The 23,698-nt window shown below is 54.3% G+C and overlaps 1 protein-coding gene across 35 annotated transcripts in view, besides 6 other annotated features; it reads left to right on the plus strand.

Annotated features, from left to right (window-relative positions):
• The window catches only part of ARHGEF10L (Rho guanine nucleotide exchange factor 10 like), a 184,441-nt gene extending 166,612 nt beyond the window's left edge, over nucleotides 1-17,829 (plus strand). For 19 of the 35 annotated variants that reach the window (XM_024448061.2, XM_006710728.1, XM_006710731.1 and 16 more), the window contains 3 exons: nucleotides 7,527-7,701; nucleotides 15,112-15,234; nucleotides 16,802-17,829. In XM_024448061.2, coding sequence (XP_024303829.1) covers nucleotides 7,527-7,701; nucleotides 15,112-15,234; nucleotides 16,802-17,334 — 831 coding nt within the window. In that variant the 3' untranslated portion in view covers nucleotides 17,335-17,829. The other 16 variants (NR_137287.2, NR_137288.2, NM_001438940.1 and 13 more) reach the window with 3 other exon arrangements.
• Nucleotides 2,633-3,193: an enhancer, noted in NCBI's record as "H3K27ac-H3K4me1 hESC enhancer chr1:18009174-18009734 (GRCh37/hg19 assembly coordinates)". NCBI's record gives its function as "activates a minimal SCP1, AML or CMV promoter by ChIP-STARR-seq in naive H9 embryonic stem cells {active_cell/tissue: H9 hESC(naive)}" and the evidence as "EXISTENCE:reporter gene assay evidence [ECO:0000049][PMID:30033119]".
• Nucleotides 3,980-4,581: an enhancer, noted in NCBI's record as "H3K4me1 hESC enhancer chr1:18010521-18011122 (GRCh37/hg19 assembly coordinates)". NCBI's record gives its function as "activates a minimal SCP1, AML or CMV promoter by ChIP-STARR-seq in naive H9 embryonic stem cells {active_cell/tissue: H9 hESC(naive)}" and the evidence as "EXISTENCE:reporter gene assay evidence [ECO:0000049][PMID:30033119]".
• Nucleotides 6,065-6,565: an enhancer, noted in NCBI's record as "H3K4me1 hESC enhancer chr1:18012606-18013106 (GRCh37/hg19 assembly coordinates)". NCBI's record gives its function as "activates a minimal SCP1, AML or CMV promoter by ChIP-STARR-seq in primed H9 embryonic stem cells {active_cell/tissue: H9 hESC(primed)}" and the evidence as "EXISTENCE:reporter gene assay evidence [ECO:0000049][PMID:30033119]".
• Nucleotides 6,566-7,066: an enhancer, noted in NCBI's record as "H3K4me1 hESC enhancer chr1:18013107-18013607 (GRCh37/hg19 assembly coordinates)". NCBI's record gives its function as "activates a minimal SCP1, AML or CMV promoter by ChIP-STARR-seq in primed H9 embryonic stem cells {active_cell/tissue: H9 hESC(primed)}" and the evidence as "EXISTENCE:reporter gene assay evidence [ECO:0000049][PMID:30033119]".
• Nucleotides 9,593-10,325: an enhancer, noted in NCBI's record as "H3K27ac-H3K4me1 hESC enhancer chr1:18016134-18016866 (GRCh37/hg19 assembly coordinates)". NCBI's record gives its function as "activates a minimal SCP1, AML or CMV promoter by ChIP-STARR-seq in naive H9 embryonic stem cells {active_cell/tissue: H9 hESC(naive)}" and the evidence as "EXISTENCE:reporter gene assay evidence [ECO:0000049][PMID:30033119]".
• Nucleotides 20,732-21,331: an enhancer, noted in NCBI's record as "H3K4me1 hESC enhancer chr1:18027273-18027872 (GRCh37/hg19 assembly coordinates)". NCBI's record gives its function as "activates a minimal SCP1, AML or CMV promoter by ChIP-STARR-seq in naive H9 embryonic stem cells {active_cell/tissue: H9 hESC(naive)}" and the evidence as "EXISTENCE:reporter gene assay evidence [ECO:0000049][PMID:30033119]".

Consider the following 23,698-nt stretch of genomic DNA (forward strand, 5'->3'; position numbering starts at 1 on the left):
GTGCACGCTTCTGCCCCGCCTTGCCCCACCCTGCCCCTGCCCCTGCCCTGCCCTGCCCCTGCCCATCTGGGCCACCCGGGGTTGGTTCGCTCTCTTTTCATAGAGTCTCCGTGAGGTGGGACGCTGCGCGCACAGTGCCCAGTCAGGCATTGGAAAGTCCTGACACACGGTGGGTACCTGTAAAGTAGAAGCCCCACCAGCATCCTGCTGTTTCCTCAGGAGCTGGCAGCCCCTGAGAGCCCCTGTGCCCAGCGAGCCTTCCGGCCCCTTGGCGACATCTCAGCTCTAATGACTTTGAGTGCTGAGCTGCTCACCCTGGGAATTTATGGAAACCATGCACAGAAGCGTCACCTGGAGGCACATAAATATTGTAGGACTGGAGGTTGGGCTGTGTCAGCACTATTTGGAGCAGTATCACCCACCTGAAACTGACTGTGTGGGCGCCTGTAGCGGGTGGATGGGGGGCTGCAGGGAGGGGCTCCGTGGGCAGGCTCAGGACACACAGGTTTGTCTCAGCTCACCTGGGTTCATTCCAGGTCACAGTGCGCCAATGCTCTCCCTGGAATCCTCACCGTGCCCCAGAGGCGTGTTCTCTTTTTGTCCCCGTGTACAGATGACAGAGGAGACTGAGTCACTGGGTAGTGGGGATCTGGGAGCTGGAGGAGGCGGGCACAACCCCTCCCCTCCAACTGCCAGCTTTTTTTTTTTTTTTTTAAATTACTTTGCCTTTTCTCCCATAACTTTTTTTTTTTTTGGAGACGGAGTTTCACTCTGTTGCTCAGGCTGAATTGCAGTGGCGTGATCTCGGCTCACTGCAATTTCTGCCTCCCGGGTTCAAGCGATTCTCCTGCTTCAGCCTCCCAAGTAGCTGGGATTACAAGTGCCCACCACCATGCCCAGATAAGTTTTGTAATTTTAGTAGAGACATGTTGGCCAGGCTGGTCTTGAACTGCTGACCTCAAGTGATCCACCCATCTTAGCCTCCCAAAGTGCTGGGATTACAGGCGTGAGCCACTACGCCTGGTCCCCCATAACTTTTTACTTTGAAAAATTTCAAACTACAGGAAAGGTGAGAGAATAATACAATACACAGATATTCTTCACCCAGGTAACTGTTAACATGTTGCTACAATCTTCCCCCATATTATACATGCACAGAGACATACACCCACTTTTAAAAAAGTCAGTTGCAGGCATCATTACCCTTTACCCCTAAATACTTCGGCATGTCTCTTCAACGTAACTGCATGGCATATCACACCCAGGAATTTAGGTCTATGCACTGATGCTATCTAAATACTGTCCAGGTACAGGTTTTCCCAGTTGTCCCCAAAATATCTTTCAGAGCTACTCCCCCAAATGCCATCCAGGATCCAGCCTGAAATCACAGGCAGCCTTTGGTTTTCATGTCTCTTAAGTCTCCTTTTAATCTAGAATAATCCCTTTGCTTTTTTGTTTTCTTCATGATATTGACTTTGTTGACAAGTCCAAGCCAGCGTCTCATAGAAGTTCCACAGTCTGGAATTGCCTGGTTATTTCCTCCCAATGAGCTGCCAGTGTTCGGCCAGGTGCTGTGGGGCTGGGGGTCAGGGGAGCCCTACACCTCCCACAGCAGTCCTCGGGGAGGAAGAAGAGCAGCTGGCCCCGTCCTGATCACTTGGTTAGGGTAGCGTCGGCTGGATCTCTCCTTCTAAAGGTGCTGGTTTCCCTTTGTGATTACTCAGTCACCTTTGGGTGATTCTTGGAGACTGTGTGAATATCCAGTTCCTCCACAAACTTTCCCCCTGGGGCTTTGTCATCCATGGGTGATCCTTGGTGATTGCTAATTCACCATTGTCTAATTCTGCCTTGCCTTCTGCATTGACTAGTTGTCACTAGTTACAGAGATTCACCTGACCCCACTCCACACCCTGCCCTTACTATCACTACAAATTCCTAGATTTAAAAAAAAAAAATCCAGCGTGCTCTAATCAGGACCATCATTATTATTTTTGATGTTCACATTGTCTTGAATTTGGCCAGCGGGGACCCCTTCGTGTTGGCTCCTGGGTCCTTTGGACACATCCCCATTGTTCTTTGAGCCCTTCCTTGCTTTTCATCTGTGAGAAGTTCTAGGCATTTCTCCAGGGCACCCTGGCTAGAGTCACTGCCTTCAGGCTCTTTCAGTGGACAGGGCCAGGGAAGAACTCTCGAGTTGGGGTTCGTTTTGATACCTCTGATTTAGATTTGAGATCCTGGAGTCTACCCTCGTCTCTCCCATTCCACACCGGACTCTCTTCTCTCTGTGCAAACCCTGGTTCCCAATAACATCAGTGTATCTCAGTCCCACCACATAGGTTCAGAATCACTGTGCCTGCCCCACCACCTCCAAGCCTGCCAAGGAAGTTGAGGTTTCCCTTGCAGATCATTTTGTCCTTCAGCAGGGACCAGGGGTGTACAGTTGGAATGCCATGATCCTGAGCTACTTGAATGGGTTCTTTTCTATGCGGATGTGACTGTGTTCCAATAAAGCTTCATTTACCAAAACTGGTGCAGGCTGGTTGTAGCCTGAGGGGCATTGTTTGCAGACGGCTGCTCTAGTGTATAAACCTAACAGCACGGTTTCTGGTGCAGGGTGAGCGCTCACCCAGTAAATAGCTGTGTCTGGATAATGGAGGCTGAGGGGGCAGGAAGCACTGGGCATTCCTGGTGGTGGGTGGGCAGGTGGCCTTTTTCAGGGATAAGGGGGCTAGAGGCCTCTTAGAGAGTAGGACAGCCCCTGACCCCACCAACCCCACACTTCTGGGCCTCCCAGACCAGCCAAGGATGAGGGCACAGGTCTGGAGGTGCTTGGCCTGGGATTGGGGTGCTGGGTGAGCAGGGTTTCACCCTTTTCTGGTTGGGAGGAGAGCAGAGTTTGATGAGCTGACAGCCTCCCCTGGCAATGAATTCTGAGCTCTCTCAGGGTACGTGGATACCTTGTGTTTGGAAAATGAAATGAGCTGCATGGCCTGGCAGCAGCAAGACCAGTGAGCAGTGAGGGCTTCCCCCCTGCTCTCACCAGGGTGCTCACTGCCCCCTGCTCTCACCGGGGTGCTCACTGCCCCCTGCTCTCACCGCGGTGCTCACTGCCCCCTGCTCTCACCGTGGTGCTCACTGCCCCCTGCTCTCACCGGGGTGCTCACTGCCCCCTGCTCTCACCCGGGTGCTCACTGCCCCCTGCTCTCACCCGGGTGCTCACTGCCCCCTGCTCTCACCGGGGTGCTCACTGCCCCCTGCTCTCACCCGGGTGCTCACTGCCCCCTGCTCTCACCGGGGTGCTCACTGCCCCCTGCTCTCACCGGGGTGCTCACTGCCCCCTGCTCTCACCGGGGTGCTCACTGCCTCCTGCTCTCACCCGGGTGCTCACTGCCCCCTGCTCTCACTTGGGTGCCAGGCTCAGTCCCTCAGCCCCCTCTGGGACCCGTGATCCTGGCATGTCTCTCTGGCTCCACCTACTCCCTGCCCTGTGGGCCCAGGAGGCTCAGGCAGGACTCCAGGCTCGTGGTGTGAGAAGGGGACCCAGGAGCCCAGAGGTAGCTGAGACATGCCAGGCTGGGGCTGGGGCTAGGGCTGGGGCTGGAGGTGCTGTGCTGTTCTCCCTATTCATTCCTGCCCTTTCCCCCGCCGGCCTCCCCGCTTTGGGCTCAGCAGGTTTGCACAAGCCTTCTGCTAAGCCCTCTGGGCCTGGAGACAGACTTGTTATGCCACTGGAGAAATGAGCCTGGATTTCCACCACCGACTTCTCTTTTAATTAGATTCTGACAGCAGCACACAGGGTTGGCTGGCTGCAGATTCAGGTGCAGCTTTCCTTGGTCCCAGGCCTCTGGGTTTCAGTGCGCTTGGCTTTTTCGGAGGCTGAAAATACTTCTGACCTTTCTTCGGGAGTCGAGCGGCAGGCTGGCTGCACGCGTGTGAGCATGCAGATACCTCTCTCAGTGTGTGCATGTTTGTGCATCCGTGAGCAAGGAGCTGCGTGCTGTGTTTTGGAAAAGCCTGCAGACAAAGCATGTTGGGTCTCACTGACTGTCCTGCTACCCCATCCATTCGCCCCACTGCTCGCCGACAGCAGGTGCTGAAGGGGTCCCCTTGGCCTCACTGTCCTCATCTGTGATTTGGGCTGATGCTGCCTCAGCTGGCTTTTCCCAGCAAGGCCTCATGGGAGGTTTCCTTCCTCCTGGATTCCTCCTACAGGCTGGTTTGGCAAAACAAAATCATTCTGCATGTTTCCTTGAAGGAACATACATCGCAGGAAGAGAGAACTGAAAGCCAGGACGGCCCGGGCTGTGGGCAGCAGATATGGGCGGAGGGCTAGAGAGATGGGGGCATGGTCTCTCCCCTACACAGCATGGACTACTAAACCTGACTTTGCACAGGCTGTGAGGAGGCGTGGCCTCCTCCCAAAAATCAGAGGCTCTGAGCCTCTTGCACCTGGGCCTTCTCTGAGGGCCGGGAGTGGGTGGCTAAGAAAAGAGGAAGAGACCCCCGATACCTCTGGAGCCCTTAGCCTGAGCCCCCAATCTGAGACAGGAGACAGTTCGCTTCCTCTGAGCATGCCCAGCTTGATACAAGATTCTGTCCTTGCTCTTGGGGGGCCCCCACCCAATGGAGACACCGCACCCCTGCCTTTGGTGAACTTTCGGTCTGAGGAAACTACAGCTTCTGCTCTGGGGGCATCCCCCTGGTCAGGGGTGGGCTGTGCAGTAGAACCCCTGTTCCAAGAGCAGCCTGACCCTGGGGAGAGGAACCACACTGCTGTCTCTTCTCCCCTCCCCTCCCCTCCTCTGGGGAGCCTGGCCTTTCCTGCTACCCCTGCCTCCCTTGCTACTCGCAGCTCAGCCATCAGGGACTGGCTCAGAAAAAGCAATTTCCTTGGACAGCTCACAGTCTTGCCCTCCTGGTCCCCACACTCTGATCAGGAATGAGCCCGGAGCTCACTGGCTTAGCTCCGCATGGAGACCCCCGCCCCTCACAAGCTTCCTTAACTCAGTGGGAAACCGCTTAGTGATTTGAGCTGGGAAGGAGCTGGGGCCATCCTCCAGGGCAAAAGAAGCTGAGTCCTGTTCCTCCCTCTCCACTTGCTAAGCCCACGCGAGGTCTTCGGGGGCTGGACAAAGAAGCCAGCCTTCCCCACACTGTTGTCAGACTGAGCTTCTTTAAAAGTAAAACTGACTCTGTCACTTACCAGCTCAACCCCCTCCAGTGGGCAAATAAAATCTAAACTGTTCCCCATGGATTCCAAGGTGGCCTGGTGCAATCTGGCCCTACCTGCTCTGGCCTGTCCCATTGCTGTGCCCCCCACCACGGGTCCCTCTGCTTCTCATTCCTGCCTCCGGGCCTTTGCACTGCTGTGCCCTTTGCCTAGAATGCTCTTCCCCCTCCTCCCAATCATTGAGGGGCTGTTTCCTCCCCATTATTCAGGTCTCTCACTAAATGTCACCTCCTAGAGACACCTTCCCTGACCCCAGTCTTAATGGCTTTCAGTATTTTTTCTGTGCAGTGCTTCTCACTATCTGATGTAATCTTTCTTTGTTTTAATTGCCTCCTGTCCTGAGAACGTTTGCCCCACAAGAGTGGGTCTTGCAGTCATCACGACATTTCCAGCACTTACACCCACACCAGACACATAGTAGGGACTCAAGAACATCTGCTGAATAAATGAGACCCTACTAGGCACTGGGCCTGTGCCAAGCTCTCCTCACCCAGGTACCTGTAATCCTCATAGCAGCGTGTACTTACAATTGAGGAAACTGAGGCCTGGGCCTGTGAAGCTGCCAAGGAAGTCAGATTTAATAGCAGGTTGGATCTCAAATAAATGCCCCGTCCAGGATCCTCCTGCAGTCTTGGGCTTCCTCCCAGGACAAATTCTTTATGGAAAAAGGAGAAAAGCCAGAAAACTGGAAAAGAGGAAAATCATCCCGTCCTGCTCCTGGAGTAAGCCTCAGGGTGCAGCTCTTCCTCCCCTGTCCCGCTTCTTCCCCCAGCTTTTGGTGTGTTTGTTTTGTTTTGTTTTTTTTCTTTCTTTCTTTCTTTCTTTCTTTCTTTTTTTTTTGCATTTTCTGTAGCATTCACATTTTTCTGTGTCTGTCATGCAGTGTCTGTAAGTGTGAGTTTAAATGCAGGGAGGACAGTACAGAGCTGGATACACAGAGTTACCTGACTGTCCCCATGGCTTGGGGATTTGGGTTGTTTCTAGTCTGCTGTGCCTGAGTTAGTGACATCTGAGTGTTGTAGATAGAATTCAAGTGTCCATCCATTCATTTTTTTGACCAAATTTTACTGTGCTGGGCCCTGTGCCAAGCAGGTGACAGGCACTAAAGGGCATGAGGCCCAGGCTCTGTCCTTGGAGTCCACAGTCTTATGTGGGAAGTGGCCAAGTAGAACCACAGAATGGTGTAGGTATTCCAGGCTAGACAGCAGAGCACGCCATTCAGAAGGAAGTGGCTGGTCCGTGGCGGGGTGGGGCCTGCCTCCTGGACTGAGGACGCCACTCTGAAGTGGAGTCTTCAGATGTTGGAGGAGGACAGTTCGGGGGGGCAGTGCGTGCTGTGTGCAAGTCATGGCCAGGGCAGGGGTGCGGCTGTGTGGTACATCTTGAGCATTGGCTGGCCTGAAACGTAGGGAGCCCACAAGGAAGGGCAGGAGTGGGGGCAGCACTGGGGCCCCGAATGCTGAGCTAAGGAACTTGGACTTTCTCCTGCAGTGGATGGGAAGCTTGATCATTTGTATCTTCTTTTTTAAAAAAGTTTTTATTTGTTTTAAGATCAAAATGGTACATATACTTGCAAGAAAAAAAAAAAAAGCATGGAGTGGTTTATCCTGAAAGGCTCGTCCACACTCCACATCTCAGTCCTGCTTTTTGGAAGAGAATGCTTTTCACCTGTTCTTTTTTTAATCCACCTGGCACTTTCCTCAGGACCCAAACTTGTTCACTCTGCTGCTTCTTGATGTATCAATTTTGGGACATCACCTGTTGTCTCCTTGCTGTGAATGATGAGGATTTGGCCCATATTACCCCCGTTCCTTCCCCGGTCATTCTCTCGGTTGCCTTTGTCACTTTAAATCATTTACATAAACCACAACTTCTTTCATGATTTTCGGCTCCATCTTTCCCTTCCGTAAGGTAAAGCTCTGAGGGGCCACTGGGACCATGCCTGGTCCTGTCTGCTCGTGAGTGAGCGTGTGCATGTCTTTCCTGCTCCTCACTCGGTGATATCATGCTGGTAGTTTGCAACTGGCCACGTTAGAATGTTTACACCATGGAAATTGGCAAACGCTGCAAACCAGGATTCCCTGCCAGTTGTTAAACTTTGGCCAACACAGCACAGCTGGGCTTCTAAGATTCCAGTTGTTAAACTTTGGCCAACCTCATAGCTGGGCTTCTAATGTTCCCTGAGTAGCTTGAGCTTTTGAAGAATGTGAGAATGGCTGGCCCAGGGGTGGGGGCTTGTAGGGAGGCTCAGCTGGCAGGCCCAGCCAGTATCGACACTCCTCCCTTTGTGCCACAGCAAAGCTTCGAGGCGCACCAGGACGAGGCAGTGAGCGTGACACACATGGTGAAGGCGGGCAGCGGCGTCTGGATGGCCTTCTCCTCCGGCACCTCCATCCGCCTCTTCCACACTGAGACCCTGGAGCATCTGCAAGAGATCAACATCGCCACCAGGACCACCTTCCTCCTGCCAGGTGAGGCTGCCTCGGGCACGGGGGAGCGGACAGTCACAGAGCACCTTCCACGGCCAGGTAGTGGTGTGACCTGGGCAGCCCATCCCATTTTCCCTCATCAGCCCTGAAAACTGGGGCTTTAATTTGGGGCACTCCCCAGGAAGTGGTGGGGTTGGGATTCACACCTAGGACTGTCATCTCAAAGCCCCTGCCTGTCACTGTGCCCAGCCACCGCATCACAGCAGCCTGGGGCGCTCAGGAAATGGCCCCCAGCCCACTGGACCCTCCAAAGTCAGGCAGCTGCTAAGGAAAGGCCAAGCTGGGCAGGAACCCAGGCCTTTCATTCTGCCCCACTGCCCAGGTTGACCAAACACCCAATTCTGCCTCAAATGCCCTGCAGGATGAGGTGATGGGAAAGTGAGAAAGCCAACGGGTGGTCTCTGTCCTTGGAGTTTTTTCTGAGAAAGGCAAATTCCCCTCTTGGGCCTTCTAGTCTGTGGGTTTGGATGGCATCTGCTGTGGCTGGGGCCCCTCCTGCGTAGCTGTGTGTAGATGAAGTGGACAGGATTGGTGGTGGAGGGGAATGGCGGCGAAGGATTAAGGCTGGAGCTCACCAAATGCCCCCCAAGGCCTCCATGGAATTGGCTCTCAGCCTTTCGTTGCCATCTGCTGCTCAAGATGCAGGCACCATGCCCATCCTCACCCCAGCTGGCTTCAGAGCAGACCACGGGGCCAGCAGGCATCAGCTAACCTTGCTTCCCTCCTTGGCCCAGCTTCCCCCAGAGAGACTGACCTGCGGCCAGTGTGGGAGGGTGCAGTGGCTCTGTCTTGTCCCAGTGCCCCAGGCAGGGCTGGGTTCAGCAGCTGGGAGAGCCAAAGGGCCCTCGGGCCAGGGAAACACAGCCCGTGTGGCAGGTGGGGGCCTGGAGCTGATTGTCACAGGACCTGGCAGATGGGCCATGGCAGAGGCTGGGAGTGGCCATATGCCCAGCAGGGTTGAGCATCCTGTCTTCTGGGGCCATACTGAGGGCAGGCATGTTAGCCAGCACTGCAGGAGCCTTAGGGACCTCTGCCTACCCCAGGGGCCCGGTCCCTAACTCCCTCCCGAGGCCCTGGAAATCACCCTGGTTTCTGCTTCCCTCTAGCCAGTCACGATGGTCCTTGAGTCTGAACTGATCACACGGGGATGGTGGTTACTAACAACACAGTCCACGGCAGTCACAATGGTGTAATAACTGCCACCCTGCCCGGGCCTGAGGTGATGAGGCCCCAAGTGCTTATGTGCAGGATCTCATTTCACCCTAACCCTGCGAGCTGGGGATTATCCCCACATTACAGATGCAGACACTGAGATTGGTTCAGCAGGCCGGGCGTCTTGCTCGTGGTCATGCAGTAGACCAGAGGCAGGACCACAGTCACATCAGGCCGGACTCAGTCCAGCATCCTACTGTATGTAATGGAGAAAGAGAGTTGGCTTGAGGCCTGGCTTGGCCAACACACAGTATCAGACAAGTCCCTTAATCTCCCGGAGCCCCTCATCCCTCTGTAAGATGGGATGTAGGTCCCAGCTCAGGGACTGTTATGAGGATAAATGCTGGTGGGCTGGGAAGGTGGCTGTCCTGGGCCGGCAGGGTGGCAGGTGCCCGATGAGACTGAACCCTTCACTCACGTTCTCCTGGGGTGTGTGAGAGGCTTGATGGGACCTGTGTTTGGGTTGCCTCCTTCCCCCTCTCTCCCTCCCTCCCTGCCTCCTTCCCCTACCTCCCTCTCTCCCTCCCTGCCTCCCTCCCTCCCTCTCTTCTTCCCTCCCTCCCTCCTTCCCTCCCTCTCTTCTTCCCTCCCTCCCTCCTTCCCTCCCTCCCTCTCTTCTTCCCTCCCTCCCTCCTTCCTCCCTCCCTCCTTCCTCCCTTTCTTGTTTCATAGTATTTAGCCATTATACAGGTTCAATCCATTTTAACTACGATAAAAATGTCTCTGTATCACAAAACTATCTCCACATTTCCTCTGATAGCTAAATTATTTCAAGTTAGTGGAACAATGAAGAAATGGATAATCTCATGGGCTTTTAAAAATCTTTGGAATCTCGTCTTGTCTGCGCAGAGGAGAGTGAGAGAGAGTCAAGCTGATCAAGTGGTGGGAGGCAGGATGTGTGGACAGACCTGGCTGTAGTTAGAACAGCCACTCCTGCCTGTACAACCCTGACTTTACTGTGTTTCACATGCACCTTCACGCCCGTTGTCTTACTTACTCTTTGCAGTTACCCTTTAAGGAAGGAAGGGCATTCGTTGTTATGATGATGATTTGAGGGCCAGGTAAACTGGGGCTCAGGAGGTGAAATGACTGGTCTGCTATCGCAGTGCTGATATGGACAGAGCCAGGAGCAGCCCCACGGACTCTCGTTAGAGCTTCCTCACACTTACTGTGTAGCCTTGGGCGGTTGTGTCCCTGTCCTGGGCCTCAGTTTCCCCATTCATATAACAAAGGGCTGAGATTTGAGTCAGCTTGGCCATGCTGGGTGGGGTACACCAGAGCCTGGAGCCAGAATTCCTCCTGGAATCCCTCCCCTGTCTTCCAGCTCTGACTGGGAGCACTCAGAGCACCAGCTTCCCATCCTCGGTCCCTACCCCGCAGGGCAGGTGTAGGTGTTGTGTGAGACAGTGTGAGGACAGTGCCCACAGTCCCCGTCTCAAGCCAGCAGCGGTCCATGATGGTGACATTTTGCCGTCATCGTCTTTACGGCATACCCGCCCTGCATCTCCTGCGAGGGCTCCTTGCCCCTCCTAAGACCCTCCAGGTCAGTGTGCCATTCCTGTCGCATCAGCTGCATCAGTGCAGACAGAGGTGACCGCTCTTTTGGCAGACCTCCCTGAGGCTGAACCCTGGAGAAGGCTGGATGTAGGCCGAGGTTCCAGAGTGTGGGGTTTCCCGAAGGTTCCCTCTTCCCTCAGGCCTGAACTTTCCCAATCAGTAACCCAGTGGAGCCTGGGGCCCTGCCAGACCAGTTCCTCCTGACCCCTCATATCTGAGAGTGGCTCCCTGAGCTCCAAGCTGAGCCAGAGCCAGCCCCAGCCACCATGCTGGGGACCAGAGCGTGGGGGGCAGCTGCAGATCCACCCCACGTTGTGCCTTTGCAGAAGCGCAACACAGCAGGATTCTTAAGTTCTTTATTAGAGATATTTTTAAAAGGCTTTTAAGTATTTTTTTCTTCCCCCACACCAGCAAATGAAATAATTGCATAATTAGTAATAAATTTGTTCCTACACTAAGTGTGGATTTTTTTAGTGTGTGTTAACAATTTATTGCACTTCCTTCCCCTGACCCCTTTCTTCCACTCGCATACTCGACTGGTATTAATGCATTTTTTAACCTAAACTCCCTCCTCCTTTTAACCAGACAGGTCATTAATAAAATGTTCTCCAAGAGCCTGAGCTTTTTAAAGTTGTATATCTCCAGATAGATGGCTTGGGTGAGTTGAACACTGCCGCATTAAGTCTCTGTGATAAAATATTTATTCACCATTAGAATTTTTTTTTTCTTTCGGACTGTTTGTGAAGTGTCTTGCTCTTTTCCTTGAGGTGGAGGGGGAGGGGGAAGGCCCCAGAATGAGGTCTGCAGATGAAGCCATTTCTCAATTCCGGCATCTCTTTCGGTTTCTTGCTTGCCTTCCTCCCATTTGTCGGTTTTGCCGTCCAGTGGGGGCTGGGAGGATGCAGGGGCAGCAGGAAATGGTCTCCTGCCGGTCTCCATGCCCTGGGGGTCTTGGAGAGGGAGGCGATGAGGCTTGTGGAATGAAAAATTCACCACTGTCCCCTCTCTTGGCTTAATTGTTCTTGTGGGTTTATGGCTCTGATGGAGCTGATCTTAAGACATTAGCGTCCAGATCCTTTTAATAATCATAAACATTATCCTAATAGCCTCTATTTATTGATTGTATACTATGGGCTAAGAGCTGTGCTCAATTGTGTATATATATTATATGTATATATATATGTGTGTATATATTTAATATTTCTAATAATTATAAAATTGAGCAAGGCAGGTTTGTAGTACTCATTGATGGATGAGAGAAATGATTTGTCCAAGTTTTCTCCTTTCCTTCATCCATCCATCTGTCCATCCATCCATCCATTTACTCATTCACTCACAGATACTTCTTGAGAGTCTACCATGAGCCAAGGTACTTGGCCAGGAGTTGGGGAGTTAACCATGAGCACACAGATAAGTCACTGCCCTCACAAAGCTTGTCATAAGTAAACAAATAGCAAAATAAGGTCATCACAGACCTTGACCAGGGCTAAGAAGAGAAGTCAGCTGTTGAAAGGGGCTCATGGCCTGAGCCTCCCATGTTGGCCAACTCCAGGAGGGCTGGGGGCCTGACCCTGGACCGGAGGCTGCCATCATAGTTCTGAGCCTTCACTTTTGGAATGGATTTAGGTGTGGGAAATAGTCCCAGCTCCACAGACACCCAGGTACTGTTTGTGAAATAGCCCCTGTTGGCCAAGGCTGTAAGTCACTAGTGGGCTTTTTTTTTCAGCCTAGTTTGCATTTCCACATTGCAGGGACGCTATGAATGTGATTTTTTGAGTTTGCATCATGTTGCCAGACTCGAATCCCACCGCCTGCTTGATAGCTCCATTCGGGTGTGTCTAATTTGTGTCTCAGACCACACATCCAACCAGGAGCTCTGGGCTTCAACCCCCAAACCGGCTCCTTTGCCATCCCAGGCCATGGCACTGCTATGCACCCAGCTGCTCCAGGCAGAGGAGCCTCAGTGCTATCCTGGGTTCCTTCCTCTGCTCCACCTCTGCTCCCCTCTCCCAGCAGCTCTGTCGCTCTGCTCCAAACAGGTCTAAAACAGGTTGGGCTCTCCTCACCTCACTGCCGCCGCCCTTCCCACCTGGGCAGCTGCGGGAGCCCCTGCTGGGCTCCTTGCTCCTCCCACTCCCACCCTCCACAACTGTAGCTAGAACGTTCCACTCAAATCACGTCACGCTACTCCCCTGCCTAGGCCTTCCGGTAGCTTTTCACTGCAGCCAGAATTATGAGCCCCAGTCCTGGCCCTGACCCATCCCCTCTTCTGACCATCTGGAGTCTGCCTTCTGTGCCCCAGGTGCACTGGCTTCACTCTGCTCGGCGGACTGGATGAGCTCATTCCTGTCACAGGGCCTTTGCATGCCCTGTCTCCTGGGCCTTGGCTCAGGTCTTGGTGTGGCCACCTCCGCCTTGTCACCCAGCAGCCTCACGCCTGCCTCCCTATCCTTCCAGGAAGTAGAGGGAGGCCTGAAGACCCGGGAATCCTCCACTGGCTCTGCCCTGTCGCCCTGTTTCAATCCTCTGCCTGGTGTTTACATCCCTTGTTTCTGTTTTTGTTTCCTGTATCTCCTCTCTACACCTCTGTGTCTAATACAGTAGCCATTATTACAATGAAAGAAAATAACACATTCAGTCCCTCAGTGCCACTAGCTATATTTCCAGTGCTCGGAAGCCACATGTGGCTGATGGCTGTCAAATTGGACAGCACGGTAGGGAACATGTCCATCATCAAAGAAAGTTCTAGAGTGTCTGCTCCTTAAGACAGGACTCTATGTACATGGTCCCAGCTGTGCCCCCAGCACCTAGTGTGGGGTCTGCCATGCAGTAGGCATCTGGGAGGTAAATGGATTGGTGATGGGATGGCACACTGTGTTAGGCAATGCTGGGTGTACCCCGAGTCGGTAACCTGCCTTTTGGGGTGAGAGAGCCACACCATTTCTCTCTGTGCCTGCACTGCAGAGGAAGCACATACACCCACATGTATGGAGTTGAAGTGTCATGCCCAAGGAGGGAGAGGTGATGGAAGCACTGGGCAGTGGTGAGCAGCAGACCTCAACTCCACCCCACCCTGCACTCACCAGGTGGGGGACCTCTTTGAGCCTTAACATCCGTGCCTGGAAAATGGGGCCGGCATTTGTGTCTTGCATACGTCTTGGCTGTTGCAAGCCTTGTGTCAGATGAGAGCAGGTATACGAGTGCTTTGGAAACTCCAAAGCTGTGTTTTTTCAAATGTGATCCATGGACCAGAAGCAGCAGAAAGTGGAAACCTTCTGGAATGCAGCCTAAGCCTCTCCCAGAGGGCAGCAGGATCAGGGCAAGAAGGAGACAGCCCTTTAGAAAGGCAGCTGCCCAGTGAAGCCTAAGGAAGTGTGGCAGCGCCGTCCACCCTGTGTGTGACATGGTGGAGGGTCTGTCCCTGAGCCGGCAGCCTGTACCCCACGCCTCTCAGCCCCCTCAGAAAGCCTCCTGCCCCCTGCACTCCCAGCCTCTCCCTTGTGCCCATTCCCATTGCTAGAATTGTTGGCAACAGTGCAGCAGCAGCGATGACAGCAGGTAGCGCCCATTTTGCCATGTGCAGGCACGGGGTTGTTTTACGTTCATTCATTTAACCCAATGGAGAGTATCTGTGTTCCAAACATCAAAAAGGGACAGTAAAAATACGGTCCTATAGGACTGCCATTGTATACATGGTCTGTTGTTGACTGAAAGGTCATTATGTGACATGTGACTGTATTATCCTTGGCCCCTTTTACAAGTGAGGACACCATGGCCCAGAGGAGTTTAGGATGGGCCCCAGGTCATGTAGCTGGAGAGTGGCAGAGCCAAGGTGTGAATCCCGCACCTGGCTCTGGAGCCCTGTTCTCAGCCACCGTGCTGGGCAGCCCACACCTGGCATCCTCTCTGTTAGGAGCAGGGGCCTGCCCCCACGCCCTCTCTGACATTGCTATTCTTGCTAAAATGAAGAGACAGAGCTGAGGGGAGAGCTAAAAAGAATGAATCTGGACTGGCATCAGAAACATGCTGCTTCCCACCAGCGAGTTTTGTGCTTCACTCTTGGGCCCAGGGCCTGCAGGGTGTGCTGTGACCTCATCTGAAGAAGCACCCACACGGGCAGGCCCTGAGGGGCTGCAGCAGAGCCACCTCGATGCCTCTCGAGCCCCACCCGGCCCTACTTATGCCTTCCATCTGCACCAACACCGATGAGAAGCTTGCACCTCCCCAGTCTTCCCTGGTTTTGCTCGTAGCTGGCTGGCTGGATCCCTGCATGGATTGCCCTTGGACAACCCTTTGTGCCGGATGACCTGGCCGCCGTGTATTGAGAGCGCACACAGACCAGGCGCTGTGCCTGTGGTGTTCCCCCAATGCATCCGTATGGCAGCCCCACTTTACACAGGCGGAAACTGAGGCTGGTTAGGGGAGTGCTCAGCTGCAGGACCTCGTGGCCAGACCCCAGGCAGGTCAGCCTCCAAAGCCCCAGCTCTTCCCCACCCCACCGCCCAACTTCTTGCTGGTTTCAGGGGAGGAGCCCGCTGTGCCAGGCCCTCATCTCGTGGTGGTACCCAGAGCCCATGCTGTCTCCCCAGGAGGGCACTGCTCAGCCGCCCTCTCTTTCTGCAGGCCAGAAGCACTTGTGTGTCACCAGCCTCCTGATCTGCCAGGGTCTGCTCTGGGTGGGCACTGACCAGGGTGTCATCGTCCTGCTGCCCGTGCCTCGGCTGGAAGGCATCCCCAAGATCACAGGTGAGGCTTTGGGAGCTGGTGTTGGCAGGACCAGGGGGTCAGCTGCAGGTGGCCAGTGGGGCTTGGCGGGGAGGGTGTATTATGCCCTCATTGGTATAGGGATGGGGTTCCAGTCTCCAGCTTCCTCTCATCTCAGGTGGCATGGTGGCCAGTAGAACTGAATCGTCCTGGCCCCAGTCTCCCACCTTTCTGAGTGTCAGTTTCCTAATCTGGCAGATGGACACAAGAGTGGCTTGGGGCCTGGCTGAGACACCTGCCTAATGGCAGGGGCTCCACTGGCCCTTTCTGCTGCTTCCCATAGCAGTTTCAAGATGTCCAGGCTCCAGAGAAAGAAATAACTGAGTGCTTCTGGGGCCAGGCCCGGCCTGCTCGTGGGGTCCATGTGCAAATGAATGTGTTCACATAGATCAGAGGAAGGTCTGCTCTGATCTGCACTACTGGGCCCAGGACAACAAGGGCAGGATCAGAGAAGACCCCCACACTTGGATGCCTGGAGCTCCGGGTCCCCCTCCACCACCCTGAGAATGATGACTGTGGTCTTTTCCAGCAAGGGAGCAGGGCCAATAGGAAGCCCTGGGGGTGGGCTGGCTCCCTGCGCAGACCTCAAGTCCTTCTGATAAAGAAGAATTGCTTTGGCTGGGCGCGGTGGCTCACACCTGTAATCCTAGCACTTTGGGAGGCCGAGGTGGGTGGATTGCCTGAGCTCAGGAGTTTGAGACCAGCCTGGGCAACACAGTGAAACCCCATCTCTACTAAAAAATAAAAAAAAATAAAAATAAAAAATTAGCTGGGCATGGCGGTGTGCGCCTGTAATCCCAGTTACTTGGGAAGCTGAGGCAAGAGAATTTCTTGAACCCGGGAGGTGGAGGTTGCAGTGAGCCGAGATTGCGCCATTGCACTCCAGCCTGGGGGACAGAGTGAGACACCATCTCAAAAAAAAAAAAAAAAGTTGCTTCTAAATTCTGAGATTTTCTATTTTCAAGGTTTCATCAAATAGGGCATTTTGTCCATCCAGGGGGCATTTGTGGAGGGTCTATTTCCAGGTAGAATCCTGGGATGCAGGGATGAAATCGGGCAGAGACCCTGCTCTCAACAAGCTGATGGTCTCCTGGGGGTCATCATAGCTCGGGTGACAGGTGCTGGGATGAGGGTGCTCCGGGGGCTGGGGACACAGAGACTGGGGCGAGCAGCTCCCCATGCATGAATTCAGGAGGGATTCACAGTGAGGAGTGTGAGCTGGGCCTTGCTGAAAGAGTTGCAGAATCAAGTAGACAGGAAAGGATTTCTAGGCAGAGGAGCTGCTTGGCAAAGGCTCAGGAAATTCTTGGAATTTCACACTGAGGCTCCCCCGTGTGGTGTATAAGGTGGTTTCTGTTCCACTCCCCTGAGGAAGTTGTGCAGGAGCACGGGATAGCCAGAGCCTGTGGCCTTCGGGGGAGGTGCCAACATAGACAGAAGTGACCCCCCCAAATACCCACCCAGAATGTTCTCCAGGAGAGAGACTCAGGTGCTTCCCTTAATGCGCTGGGCCTTTGGGCCCCTTTCTCTCTCGCCCCATTTTCTGCAGGGAAAGGCATGGTCTCACTCAACGGGCACTGTGGGCCTGTGGCCTTCCTGGCTGTGGCTACCAGCATCCTGGCCCCTGACATCCTGCGGAGTGACCAGGAGGAGGCTGAGGGGCCCCGGGCTGAGGAGGACAAGCCAGACGGGCAGGCACACGAGCCCATGCCCGATAGCCACGTGGGCCGAGAGCTGACCCGCAAGAAGGGCATCCTCTTGCAGTACCGCCTGCGCTCCACCGCACACCTCCCGGGCCCGCTGCTCTCCATGCGGGAGCCGGCGCCTGCTGATGGCGCAGCTTTGGAGCACAGCGAGGAGGACGGCTCCATTTACGAGATGGCCGACGACCCCGACATCTGGGTGCGCAGCCGGCCCTGCGCCCGCGACGCCCACCGCAAGGAGATTTGCTCTGTGGCCATCATCTCCGGCGGGCAGGGCTACCGCAACTTTGGCAGCGCTCTGGGCAGCAGTGGGAGGCAGGCCCCGTGTGGGGAGACGGACAGCACCCTCCTCATCTGGCAGGTGCCCTTGATGCTATAGCGCCTCCCCTCTCCCCTCAGAGGGCACAGCTGCAGGCCTGACCAAGGCCACGCCCGGCTCTCGTGCTCTAGGACCTGCACGGGACTTGTGGATGGGCCTGGACTCTCCAGAAACTACTTGGGCAGAGCAAAGGAAAACCTCTTGTTTTAAAAAAATTTTTTTCAGAGTGTTTTGGGGAGGAGTTTTAGGGCTTGGGGAGAGGGAGGACACATCTGGAGGAAATGGCCTTCTTTTTAAAAGCAAAAAACACAAAACCTCACAACTGCCTGGCAAGCCCAGTATCACTTGTTTGGGCCCTAGCGGGACTCCAAGGCAGCCACACGCCCCTCCTGGAAGGGTGTGTGCGTGTGAGTGTGTGCGAGTGTGTGGGCTGGTGTGTGAATATCTATAAATAAGTATATATGGTGTATATTATATGTGTATAAATAAAGTCTGTACATATTGGAGCTCTGGGAGATGCTGGAATAAAAGACAAGAGTTACATCTGGACTTGGATTGAGGTTTTGTTGTGGTTTTTTAAAGCATGATGGGAAAGAGATAGAGAGAGCAGCTATTGGTAGAGAGGGTTTATTCGGGACCCAGGAGCCACTCTTAGGCTTGGTGGGAGGGTGGAGCTGCTACGGGAATCAGCTCTAGAACTTCACAGTCCAATCTGGTCACCATTAGCCACAGGTGGCTAATTAATTTTCAAATTAATGAAAAATCAAACATTCAATCTCTCAGTCACCGTAGCCACATTTCAGATGTGGCTTGAGTGGTGAGTGGTGAAGGATGAGACGGCACAGATATGACCATTTCTGCTATAGAAGAAAGCTCACTTCTGCTCCAGAAGGGGCTCTGGGAGCTTCTTTTGTGAATATGTTTTGGAAAAAAGACTGGTTCACCCCAGGTCTGGAGTAGCATGGGGGCAGAAGGCCTTGGTGTCTAACAGTGCAAGCCAGAAGCGAGGGGAAGATGAGGGGCTTCTCTGCAGGCTGGCAGCCATGTCCCAGGACTTGGGGTCAGAGGGAGGACAGGGTGGGCTTCAGGTGAGGTCCATCAGCTGCAGGAGCAGAGCCCAGGCTGCAGGTGGGATGGGCGGGTGGGGCTGCCTCTGGCCCTGGCTCCTCTCTTCTGTCGCAGTTCGTCCTCAGATTTCTAGAGCTGCTTGCAGGAAAGAAAATCAAAACCAAAAGCCGCCACCCAAAAGGGAAGTGTTTCCTCCATCTCTCCACCCTCTACCTCTCTGTCATCTGTCTACCCACCACCCACCGGTACTTGCATTGAGATCTTTCCACTGAAGTTCTGGGAACCCAGTGGAAAAGCCACCAAGGAGTGGACATTCCAGCCGGGTTCTAACCTCATGATAGGTTCTCGCCCACTAGAGAAGTCATTCATTCATTCGTTTTGCAAACCCCTTGAGTTCCTGCTATTTGCTGGGCACTGGGCTATGTGGACAAGACTGCAGCCGTCCATGCCCACAGGAAGTGCATGTTGTAGCGGGGAAGGCAAGCATAAACACCAGCGAGCGAAGGCTTGGGGAGATCGAGGGTGCTGCGGAGGAGGAAGGGGGATAGAGGAGCAGCCCGTGCTCAGGTGGAGGGTGGACAGAGGTTGGCTATTCCCAGAGGGAGGTAGCCAGTGTGGGTCCCCAGGAAGGGGAGAAAGGAAGCTGGTCCAGAGGAACCAGTACACCTGAAGGTCTGGCTCCTACACTGACTACGGCTCAGACATGTCCACCTCCTTTGGGCCTCAGGATCCCATTTTGTATCAAAAGAACCATCACTGCCCTGTCCACCTCTCTTGGAAGAGAATAAAGTACGCTAGTTCCATTTTTATTGCACAAGTGGGTTATTGAATAAATACTCTCTCTGGATGGGACTCCCAGGGGGTGTGTTTATCTCATCAATCAAATGTCAACCAAGACTTCCTGAGACAGAGACCAGTGAGTCGAGGCTGCCTGGGACAAGGAGTAAGCCTGGACTCTAGGGTCTGGCAGGCCTGTGATCAAGTCCAGCACCACCAAAACGCGTCTGTGTGGCTCCCAGCACGTCCCTCCGTGGCTCCCAGCACGTCCCTCCATTTCCATATCTCTAGAACAGAGGGGATGATGTGTCACAGAGTTCAAGGTACCAGAACCACAGAAAGCATCTGGAACAGCCCTCCGGTGGCATTTTTGGTGATGGTTCCTTATATCCTCGCTCCAAACGATTTGAGGCCAGTGGTTCTTACTGAGGAGTCTCCTCTGGTGCTGGAGCTGGCATCTGGGATCTCCGTGGGCCTGTTAGATCCTAGACCTACAGATCGCTCAGCTAAAAGGGACCTGGGAGATCGAATGGAGCCCGTTAAATCACGTCACGGAGAAAACGACTGACTTTGCTACTTCAGTGAAATTATCACATCAGTCACCAGCTCATCTCCCATGCCTCCGACAACAGAGCGAGGGAGGGTCGGGGGCGCCGCGAATGGCTCCTGAGACCCACTGAGGACGTGCATCACATGTGAGTGGAGGCCTGGCCTTAGATATTGATAAGAGTAATAATACCCAGAGCGCTCCGGGTGCCTGAGCTCCTTTCGTCGGTACAACTGCTCTCTGAGGCTGCTTTTGTTTGCCTCGTTTTGTAGGTGAGGGGTCTGAGGCTCAGGGATCTAAGCAACCTGCCTAGGAAGCCTCAGAGCCTAAAAGTCAGGCCCGGGACTGTGGTCTGTCTGCCACCAAGACGGCTCTTAACTACCAGACTACTTGCCCCCCAGAGCAAAACTCTGGAGACAAACAGAGCAGAGTTGCCTTAACAGGCAAGTGCCTTAATCTGTGTCTCAGGGAGACCCTGCCATGGGAACGGACCATCATTCATTCAGTATTCATTGAACGCCGATTACGTGCCTGGACCCGTTTTCAAGTAGACACTGGGTAGGGCGTAGTGAAAAAGACAAATCCCAGGCACACCTCGTTGTCCATTCTACTGGCAGGGTCAGGAGGGAACAGACCGGGAGAAAAATATGTCAGATGATATTTGTGCTCTGGAGAAGGGGGATGGGAAGGGCTGGGGAGGGGGCTCATGATGTCAAAGAGGGTGGTCAAGAGGCCTCACTGAGGAGATGACGTCCGAGCTAAGACCTGAAGGTGGAGCAGACATCGGGTGGTAGAACATTTCGGGCTGAGGGCAAGTGCAGGAGCAAAGTGTGGGGGCAGGAGTGTGGCTGGAGCAGGTGCGGGCGGGGGAGGGGAGGCAGTGGGCAGTGGGAAATCACTGGAGGGTTTCGAGCAGAAGAATGACACTGTCTGTCTGATGTTTTCAAACAATCACGTTTGGCTGCTAAATTAAGAATAATCCATGGAGAGGGGGACAGCAGTGTGGGAGCCAGGAGTCCCCTTGTTGAGAGCTGTTGCAGTCAGCCAGGTTTGCAAGGTGGGGGGCAGCAATAGAGAGCGGTCAGCTTCCGGGTGGATTCTGATGTCCCAGAGCCCACTGGGTTTGCAGATAGATGGGCTGGGAAGGAAAGAGAGGAGTCAAGCATGCCTCTGAGGTCTGGCCTGGCGACTGGAAGGTCAGAGCTGCCAGCTTCCCTGGCAGGGTGGCTGTGAGGGGCAGCTTTTCCACAGGAAGAGCGGGAATGGGGTTTGGATCGGCTACATTTAAGTTGCTTTTGAGCATCCGAGCAGAGACGTAGGGAGGACAGTTGACTGTGTGAATTTGGAGTCAGCAGAGAGGTCCATGCCAGGGGTGCCTGAGCCTGGATGCAGCCTCCAAGGGAGCAGAGTAGACGGAGGAGGTGTGAGGACAGAGTCCAGGGAAGGCCAGTGTCGGGAGGTCCAGGAGCTGATCAGGAAGCACGGGGGAGGCTGAGATGCCCGGATGAAGGTGGAAGACCGGAAGGGCAGGGTGAGGGTTGGAAGGGGAGGGGGTGATCTGTGCTGAATGCTGCTGAGGTTAAGGAGGAGCCTGAGGCCTACCTTGGATTTAGCCACACGGAGGCCTTCTGTGCCCTTACGAGAGGTATGTGGGCAGAAGTGGTGGCGGGGAAGCCTGAGGATGCGGAGGGAGGGTCTGGGAGAGGAGCATGTGAGCAGCGGGGTCCTGGGTGGTTCTCAGGCCCCAGTGATTCGGTGGAGGGAAGGAGGGGCCGTGACAGATGCCCCAGCCATGCAAGCCACAGCTCAGAGGGCCCAGAGTTTATCAGTTCATGGGCCTTCATCCCCTTGCCCTTGCCCAAGGGGGAGAATCACTTTCTCTACCCCTGGTGAGCAGGCCGAGGCTGCAGACAAGCCCAGTTATCAGGAGGCAGCTGTGAGCCAGGCCGGTCTCCCAGCAGGAATCCTGAGCAGCGGCTGATTGAGAATCTCCGGCTGGTGACAGGTTGCCCCAACCCCACCCCGTGGGGAGCCCAGCCTGCCATGCTGGGTTACTGCCAAAGGCCTCTGTTCCTGTCTCTGTGCTCAGGCCTGGGGAGGTCAAGGCCTGACATCCCCATCCCTCAGATGGAGGTGGGGGTTGTTCTCTGGGCACTTCTGGCCCCGAGACATGGACTCCAAAGGTGGGAGGGAAGCAGAGGCTGTCCTCATCCAGCATCTGAGCAGTCCCCTTCCTTGGAGCCTGACTGCCTGTGGTGGGGGGCACAGAAATGGCCCTCTCACTTTGTTCCGATGACTGACCTTACTGTAGTTTGGACACCCCATAGCAGAAAACTCTAATTCTTTTTTTTTTTTGAGACGGAGTCTCACTCTCGCCCAGGCTGGAGTGCAGTGGCGCCATCTTCGCTCACTGCAACCTCCTCCCGAGTTCAAGCAATTCTCCTACCTCAGCCTCCCAAGTAGCTGGGGTTACAGGTGCTGGCCACCACACCCGGCTAATTTTTGTGTTTTTAGTAGAGACAGGGTTTTTCCATGTTGGCCAGGCTGGTCTTGAACTCCTGACCTCAGGTGATCCACCCACCTCAGCCTCTCAAAGTGCTGGGATTACAGGTATGAGCCACTGTGCCTGGCCTCTAATTCTTCATTAAAGGTGACATAGTCATTTCTGGAGCTTAAGCTGCTTCTTGGGGCTAACACAGTCTATTTGGGGTGAACTGACAGTCTTTTAGGCCTATCTCCTTCCCTTTCCTTCCCTTCTGTCCCCCGCCTGGCATATGAACCCGGGGGACACTAATAGGATGCAGTGGTAATAACTAGGGTGCAGGTGTCTGCACAGTGGCAGAGGCATTGGAGATGTCCCTACTCTCTATTCTGGCTTCTTTTGGTCTCCATGCCCTTAGGTCCCCTGCCATGGTGGTCAGGCTGGCATCCTTGGTGTCAGGCTGGCATCATCAGTGCTGCCTGTCTCTGGTCTTGGGCACCTCACCTTCTGTACCCCCCAACCCTATCTCAGTCCCCCTTAACCTTTCCACACCCCCACCAGCCTCCACCCCCAGGACACTCACAGACCTGTGTACCCCAGACCCCTCCTCTGCCCTGCTATCCCCACCCTGGGGGGCATGTCGGGGATCAGACCCCTGCCCGTGGGCTCTCGTGCTCCCTTCAACCTTTCTGATTGACTCCTAGAGGCCAGGTGAGTCCAACCTCAGGCAGGTCCCTCCAGTCCATCCCGTTGCCGACTTGCTGCTTACAAAGGGATTTCCTAACGAGAAAGCTGCCCTTCGGCCTGTAGGAGCTGTGTGCTCAGGCGCTGAGCTCTGTTCTTGCTTTGTAAAAGGAAGCAGAGCCTGAGACAAGGATTTTGATTCAGGTCGTTTATTTGGGAGGGGAGACCAGGGAACCCCGATGGGGGCATAAAATGGGGAAGAGAAGGCAGCCAGTGCCGGGGGAGGTATTGAACATGTTACTAAGTGGGTACCTCGGGCTCAAGTCTGCTGAGGGGCTCTGGGAGACGGTGCAGAGCTTTCTCCTCCGACCCCCACCAGCTGGGTGCCTGGCTGAGCTGCCCCTGGAGGCGTGAGTCCCTGTCAGTTCTGTCTGCTTCCTTGTTAGCCAGAGAGGGGACTAAGGTGGAGAGAGCCGGCAGGCTTGCCTGTGCGCTATAGCAAGTGCCCATAGCAAGCTGTGGCTTTTATCATTGAAAATTTTTTCCATCCCAACAAAGCCAGACTTTCAAGAGGACAGTCTTGCTGTGGACACAAAGATGTGGAATTTGGAACTCAAAGCTGGTTGTTTGTTCTAGGTTATATCCCCCTGTCTCAGCTCACGCCGTTCTAACAAAACACCACTTGCCAGGCGTCTTAAACAACAAACAATTATTCTCACAGTTCGGCAGGCTGGAAGTGCAAGAGCAAGGAGCTGGGGGATTCAGTGTCTGGGAGGCTCCTCCCAGGTGGCAGGCAGCTGCTTTTTTGTAGTGTCCTCACGTGGCAGAGAGTGTAAGCTCTGGTCTCTCTTTCACCTTTTTTTTTT

Source organism: Homo sapiens, chromosome 1, assembly GCF_000001405.40.
Source record: "Homo sapiens chromosome 1, GRCh38.p14 Primary Assembly".
Classification (NCBI taxonomy): Eukaryota; Metazoa; Chordata; class Mammalia; order Primates; family Hominidae; genus Homo; species Homo sapiens.